The 8471-nt window shown below is 36.3% G+C and overlaps 1 annotated feature.

Annotated features, from left to right (window-relative positions):
• Positions 1706-2361: an enhancer, noted in NCBI's record as "OCT4-NANOG hESC enhancer chr13:86182343-86182998 (GRCh37/hg19 assembly coordinates)". NCBI's record gives its function as "activates a minimal SCP1, AML or CMV promoter by ChIP-STARR-seq in primed H9 embryonic stem cells {active_cell/tissue: H9 hESC(primed)}" and the evidence as "EXISTENCE:reporter gene assay evidence [ECO:0000049][PMID:30033119]".

Below are 8471 nucleotides of genomic sequence, written 5' to 3'. Positions count from 1 at the left end.
GTTGTCTTTGCAAAGTAAATGTAAACCAACTAAATGCCTAATTCAAATAATAAAGCTGCATTTTAGTAAGTAAAACTTTAAAAAAAAATAGTCATCTTGACTACGATTATGATGAATAGGCAAAATAATTTATAATATTTTTCCTTTTAAATAAGATTCAATGCAGATGTGCAAGCTATAGATTCACAAAATAACAAAGACAGACTGTGTCACCCTGAAGTGAAAGAAGAATCTATGCTACTAGAGGCTTTTAGAAAATGATAGTCTGCATCTGTGGGCAGTTTAACTTTCTGCCAAGGTTTTCATCTTCTTTTGTTTACTAAGGGTACATTTTAAAGTTAAACATCTTGAGAATTGGCGCCAGAGTTTGTGACATACAGCAGCACTTTGACATTCCTTTGGTTTTGCGAAGAAACTGGTTATCTGCAATTTGGTAAACACAATAGCATGAAATCATATTTTACTGGTTTATTTAATAATCTTGCAGACAATTTTAAAAGGGCAGATTCTAAGTAAGAAACTTGCATTTCAAGGTTTTCAGAAGTAGATAACAGTAAGCTGACATTGCGATATTGAAGAACACTTTCTATCTTGTCTTCCACTTATATGTTTCCCTTTTCCTATTTGATAATAATTTCAAATTAAGTTGTCAATGATAATGTCATGAGGCCAGTTTACTACCATCCTCAAAAATTAAAAAAAAAAAATCTGATCTATTTTTTATTTTTGCAGGGGGATCATTTGTTCCTTTTTTCATGCACCAAATGTTCATTGAGTACTTACTAGTTTTAACTATTTTTTAAAATCTTCCCTGTTAAGAAGATTATATAGAGGCTATTGAATTCAGTCAGATATGTAAATTCTGACTTTTATTATTATGAGTTATTAAAGGTGTGACTTTCCGAACAGATTACAAGCTGGGATTGGGTGAGACAGCCCATGGAGAATGTGTAGACAGTGGTTCTCATCTTGAGTTATATGCCAGAATCATTTTCTGTGCTTTAGGGCCTATACTTTTTGAAGCCTCATCTACAAGCTGTTGAATAAAAAGCTTTCTGAACAGAGACCAATCTAGACACTAAAAAAATTCTATAGAAGCTAATATTTACACAAAAGGTTGAGGAGCACTGTGGAGAGAAAGACAAAAAGAGAGTAGATACTAGGAATCCAAAACATCAGTATGTGAGTGGGTGATGGGAGGAACAGCTAGTGAATAAGATGGGGAAGAAAGTGGAAGAAATGGAACAGAATCCTGTAAAAACAAGGAGGCCAACAGTTTCAAGAATAAAAAGGTGTCAGACGTACATCTTATAGATAATTCAAGCACTGTAAGAATTAAATATAGACTAAGAGATGTGTAATTTCTGAAATAACTGATGAAATTTTTCAGTGATTTCATTGGGAGAAATTCTGGACTGAGGAATAAAAAGAGAATGGGGAACCTGTGGGGAATTCACGAAGATAGATTTTATCTTGATATGGATAGTTTTACAGATATGAAAAGGGGAATCTCATGTAAGTACACAACTGATAGTCTCGATTTTTCTGAGGTTTCAGACAAGGGCAGCATGCCGAATTGGACTAAACATAATCTGATAACTTGATTTACCAAATTATTATTATTATTTTGTTTTTAAGGAGGGAAGAGTTTAATAGGCAAGAAAGGAGGAAGGAAGAAGAAAACAGCTCCCCCATACAGAGATAGAGACGAGGGGAGTGGGGATTCAAAGGGAAGGCTGGAGAGGTGGTGTCTGATTTGCATAGGGCTAAGGGAATTGGTTTGACCAGTCATATCACTCTCGTAGCCCACAGAAAAACCCGGCCCTCCCACCCTAGCCTTTTAATATGTAAATGCAGGGTGCCATGGTGTTCTACACACCTGAGGATATGTGGGGGCAGGCACATGTGGGGGCAAGGGTAAGGAGAAGAGGGCGGGAATTGCCATGTTTGGGTGGACCCAGTTTCTAATGGCCAGCATTTGCATACCAAAGCTTGCTGCCTGGCTCTAAGCATGGGGGCTTTCCTGGTAGACAAAGGTTTCTGGAGCAGCTTTAAAGGAAACAAAAACTTCCCAAGAACCCCTTTTCCTATCTATCTGCCTAAAGTAATTTGTTAATAACTCCCTGTGGAGATGTCACCCTAACTGCCGTTGGGGGTTTTGGGTGGTGACTCCTTCTGGCTACCTCTTACTGAATGGGGGTGTTGAATGGGGAACAGCAGCTAGGGCTCCTCCTAGGGTCCATCTAAGGGTCCTCGAAAGAATGCCGTGTCCATGGGTGGTAGCAACAATGACAGTGACACTAGCAAATTGTCGATATTTATGGAGCTCTATTATATGCCAGATGTTGATTTAGGATATTATATGAATGATATGATTCCATTATTATGTAGTCTAGTAGATCATAAAAGATATAAATTTGTCCAAGAGAACATAAATAATAGCCGATACCACAATTCAAACCCATGTCTGTTTGGCTCCATTACTCTGGGCCTTAAACAGTACTCCAGATTCATTTTTAACTGCTTGAAGCAAAGGATAGCTTTAAATCAGGTTTTATATATTTATGAGACAGAGAAATCATTGGATTTAAAGGCAAAATTAATAAAACGTCAAAACATGGCAATAACATTAAATTTTTCCCTTTGGTCTTAAGAAGTAAATCTTAAAATTACATGATCTAGTGTTGTTTCTCTATTGTTTTTCTAATAATTATAACTTCAGTTGATAAAACATTTGCCAAATTTTGTAAATATCTTCACTTAAATCTTACTCCCTTGGTATCAACCAAAAAATCATAACCTAATTTAACATGAATTTCCATTTAATGCATATCATTACTAGCAATTGAATGTGTCCATGCTTCTTGGCCTCACTTTAACCTCACTCCAGATTTCAAAGGGACACTCAATAATGCCTAGAAATTTTAGTGCAGTCCTCCTGTGTACTCACATTTTGCTGTTTAAATTATTTTCCATATTCTATCTCCATTTCTCCTTGCTTCCTAGCCCTAAAGCTGCTCATGACTTTATATCAAATTTGCATGCAGAGGGGATTTCCTCCATTTTTCCACTAACAAGTCAGTTGTCCATCTTCAGCTTTACATACGCTCACTGCCTTCCCTTGTCTTACTGTGAATGATATGACCTTGTGCTGGTCAATGACCAAAGTCTCTCAGTATGCTCCGGATCTCCTCCTGTTTCAGCCACCGGCTTCTGTGCTCATTCCTCTCCTCAGTGTTATTGCATCATTAATTACCCCCACACTATGTGGACGACATTGCCAAAGGCATAATCATAATCCTGTATTGCCTTTTTAATATTCATAATTAATTATTTCATATTTTAAGTTGACAAATACAAATAGCATATATTTATCAATGACAACATAATGTTTCAAAATATGTATACACTGTGGAATAGCTAAATTGAGCTAATTAACATATGCATAACCTTACACACTTTTTATGGTGAGAACAAAATCTACTTTCAGTGATTTTCAATCATACAGTGCATTGTTATTAACTGTATTATGTTGTACAATTACTGTCTTGAACTTATTCCTCCTATTTAACTGAAATTTTGTATCCGTTGACCAACATTTCCCCAGTGCCTTGCCATACCCACCCCATCCCAGTCAGTATTTCCTCTTTTAAAAAAGGAAACTTCCCAGAATGAGTGTGGTGGCTCATGCCTGTAATCCTAATGCTTTGAGGAACCTAAATGGAAGACTCGTTGGAGCCCAGGAGTTCGAAACCAGCCTGGGCAACATAGTGAGACCCTGTCTCTACAAAACATTAAAAACTTAGCCAAGTGTGATTCTAGTTACTCAGGAAGCAGAAGTGAGAGGATCACCTGAGCCAAGGAGTTTGAGGTTACAGAGAGTAATAGATTTGGCTGCTGCGCTCCAGCCTGGACAACAGAACAAGACCCTGTCTCAAAAAAGGAAACTTCCCTGCACTTTGCAAACCTCTCTAGTTAACCACTCTATTCTCCTGTTCCCATATAATAACAAAACTTCTGAAAATAGAAGTATGTAAGTTATTGTTTCTAAACTATCGTCTCACATTTTTTCCTCAATTTATTTCAATAAGGCTTCCATTCCCACAGCTTCATGAAAATGTCCTTGTAAAGATCAACACAGATGATGCAGTCAAATTTACCTATGACTTCTAGGTTCTTCTCTTATTTGACATCTCAGTAACATCTGAGATAACGGACCATTTTCTCTTTCTTGCGACAGAAGTCTAAGAATCCAAATTCTTGTGTTTTCTCCTACTTCAAAAGCCGTCTCTTCTTAATCACGTATACTGGCTCTTACTCTTCTGTTCAAGCTTTGAAATGTTGGAGTATCTTATGACTCTGATATGGATGTCCTTTTCTTTGCCATGGAAATATTCTTTGCAGATAACCTCATCCTATTCTATGGCTTCTAATGTAATCAATACACACATTTGAGATTCATATCTCAAATCCGTTTTTACAGCCCATACATTTTCTCTGGAACTGCAGGCATGTATATTCCATTGCATACTTGACCTCTCCATGTGAATATCTAACTGATGTTTCACTTACAGCTTGATCAAAACCGAACCCTTGTTAACCAGCTCCCCCCACAAAAAACCTGTTTCTTTTCAGGTCTCATCTCAACACAGGCATGAGCAAACACTCAGTGGGTCAAACCAAATCTTGTAGTTATCTGTGATTCTCATATTTCCATCCCATTTTCTTTCATTCATCAGAAAATCCTGTTGAGTCTATCTCTAAAATGTATCCTAATTTGTCCCCTTTTTGCCACTGTCACTACCAACACCCTATCTCAAGCTCCATTATTACCCTTGTAGACAATTACATTAGTTTTCTCACTGTTTTCCGTATTGCTGTCTCTTCACGGCAGCTGACACAAACTATTAAAGCCTAAATCAGATCATATTAACTCCTCTACTTCAAATACATTATGAGTTTCAATTATCAGGTGTGTCCAATCTTTTGGCTTCCCTGGGCTACATTTTATGGGGCCACCCATAAAATTCACTAACTGATGAGCTAAAAAAGAAAAAAATTGCAAAAAGTCTCATAATGTTTTACAAAAGTTTACAAATTTGTGTTGGGCCGCATTCAAAGCTGTCCAGGGCCGCATGTAGTCCACAGGCCACAGGTTGGACGAGCTTGAATTAGATAAAGAATTAAACAAAATTCTCACCCACAAAGCTGTACATGATCCATCTCCTATCTTGCCATTTTCTGGCCCTTTCAAAAATGTTTGTCAACTTCTATATTATTACTAATTATTATTATTATTATCATTTTTGAGACAGAGTCTCACTCTGTCACCTGGCTGGAGTACAGTGGCATGATCTCCACTCACTGCAACTTCTGCCTCCTGGGTTCAAGCAATTCTCCTGCCTCAGCCTCCCGAGTAGCTGGGATTACAGGCATGCACCACCATGTCCGACTTTTATATTTTTAGTAGAGATGGGGTTTCACTATACTGGCCAGGCTGGTCTCGAACTCCTGGCCTCAAGTAATCTGCCCACCTCAGCCTCCCAAACTGCTGAGATTACAGGTGTAAGGTACCACATCTGGCCAACTTGTCTGTTAGATCAAGTATTTGGTGAATAATATTTAACTTTTTCTTCACTGTGGAAAAATATTAATTAGGAAATAAATACATCATAAGCTATGGTTTAAATTCTAACATCAATTCTAATATAGGCAAAATAATGTCAATGTCACATCTTATTTTGTAGTTAAAGTTGGATAGAAAAATGCCTAAAAGAATATGCTTCTGATTCTTAATTCAACAAACTATCAACAACTACAAGGGGAGTGTAGCGGGTTAAAATAAACCCTGGCAATTTGAGGTCTTCTATAGATTATCTCTTCCAGCTAATATTTTTAGGTATTGAAATATCAAGGTGACACAGAAACAATTTAGATAAAGTTGCTGGTACAGGATCTATGTACTCATCCGTCTCCCAGGTAAACAATTCAACGGAAAAGATTAATGGTACTCAGAATATTAGTCTTACTTATCTCCTTAGTTTTAAGACTAGTAAAGCTGGCAATTTTACAGGACCGTGGCATCAAGCCAATGAGCATGCAAATTTAAATTACTCATTTAATTCTACATTGTATCATAAAAACCCAAGGCGGTTTTGTTTTAGGACACTTTATCTATTAAGAGTGTTCCTATTTCAAAAGATACAGGTTTTTTCTTGATTTGTTAGAGAAACATTGAGAAACAGAATCAGGTGCTTTATTTAGTTACGTAGAAACATAAAATCTGCAAACTGATAATAGACAGAGTCAATCAAATGCAAAAGTCAAAATTTAAATGCCAGGTTCTTTATTTATATATATATATATATATATATATATATATATATATATATATATATATATAGTCAATTCGCATAAGACAGAAATTTTTTGTTACTTCATTGTGCTGTGTTTTGCTGTATCAAATGCATCCTTATATAGACTACTAATTCTTGTTTTAGAAAAGTTATCATTTTTCGCTGAACCAATGCCCTCAGTTACACATTGCAACAAACTGACTACACCTTAATTTGTGGTCTGGTCTTTCTCAAGTTGTCATTCTCTCATATTGTTTTTCTAACATGCTAAGTCTTCTCAATCTAATTAACTATCTATAATTTAAGGGCCCATGCAGAAAGCACAATGGCAGTGCTAACCAATGTCTGTCACTTGTCTGCTCCTTAACCTCAGGATTCCATGAGTAATAAGCCTTCACCAGAGAATTACATTTCCAATGACTCTTTTAAAATAAAAACTATATAATTTGATTGACAGTGGAAAATGCCTATTTAGTAATAGTTCTAAAGCTGAAAAACTACAGAGGACTTCATTTTGAGTATCTAACTTTGTAAAAAAAGCAGAACTTATTTAGCAATAAATTCAATGCGTATCTGTTTGTTTCTTGAAATTAATCTTTTTTACTTAGTTTATACTTTTTTGAGAGTTTTGGATTTTAAAGCCTTTACCTACATTAAATAAGAACTTCTTTTTAGAAGTGGTACTCACAAAAACACTATGAAAGAGTGAAGCAGTGTTTCAATTCCTTGGCTTAATGTTTTTGCCACTTCTGCGTAAGGAACTCCATCTTAAATATTCTGCAGTAAGCTGCGCATATCTCTATCCCTGTCCTTATCACTCTTAATGTTTACTTTTGATTTATGTAACTATTTCATCCATCTATCACAGTGGCTGGAAAACAGCAGTCACCTAATAAATAATGATAGAATTAAGAAATGAATATCTATGTGGAAAGTTTAACAAACAGTGGGCATTTTGTTCTAGTTGGAAGGTAGGAGTAAAAAATAGCATGTGGGCCGGGTGCGGTAGCTCCCGCCTGTAATCCCAGCACTTTGGGAGGCTGAGGTGGGCGGATCACAAGGTCAAGAGATCAAGACCATCCTGGCCAACATGGTGAAACCCCGTCTCTACTAAAAATACAAAAAGTTAGCTGGGCGTGGTGGCATGTGCCTGTAGTCCCAACTGCTGGGGAGGCTGAGGCAGGAGAATCGTTTGAAACCGGAAGGTGGAGGTTGCAGTGAGCCGAGATCGTGCCACTGCACTCCAGCCTGGGCAACAAGAGTGAAACTCCATCTCAAAAACAAGCAAGCAAACAAACAAACAAAAACATGTGATTTAATAATTGATTTCAAATATGAAAAATAAACTGCAAACTTATAGAATTTGAGACAGCAGCCAGTTAATAAGTTCAGCCAAGCAAAACAGTAAATTATTATTATTATTATTTTTACCTTTCTACCATTTAGTACTTCTATAAAAGTTACTTTATAGTGGCTAAATTGGACTGGTTCTTGACTTTTCTGCTTTCCCTTATAATTTCCTAGTGAGGCCTGTCCATCTAAAGTAATATCCAGGATTCTGGAATTATTTTATATGCTTTCTCTTGTACTTAAAATTTTGGTCACAGTAGTCGACTAAGCTTAGATTTCAATTTCAGCTCTAACCTTTATTGGTCGAATGGCTTTACTCCAATTCTCTCTCCTAAGCTTCATCTACCCAATGGTGATAACAGTGTTACTTATTTTATAGGATTACTCCTCAGAGTAATCCTGTAAACTTAAGCAAATGAAGTATTCATATCTTAACATCTGAGCTTTAAAAGTGTTCAAATAATTATGCTTACCAATATGTTATATACACATAGCTATACTTATATAAATTTAGCATATATATTAAATATGATTAACCTGAGTCCTCTTAATTTGGGGAGTTTCTACGTATTTTTCACAAGCAGGACAGGGCTGTTATAAATTTCTCATTCCAAGTGTTGTGACAAAGTTGTTACCAATCCAGAGGTATTTACAATTTAAAACCAATAAAAACTGCACTCCAAAATGCGATTTAAAGAAATTAAATTAAGACACATGGAGATTTGGGGAAGACTTATTGAGGAAGAAAGCCTGCCTTTCAAATTC

Source organism: Homo sapiens, chromosome 13 (genome assembly GCF_000001405.40).
Source record: "Homo sapiens chromosome 13, GRCh38.p14 Primary Assembly".
Taxonomy (NCBI): Eukaryota; Metazoa; Chordata; class Mammalia; order Primates; family Hominidae; genus Homo; species Homo sapiens.
This window is presented reverse-complemented; position numbering and strand designations above follow the sequence as displayed.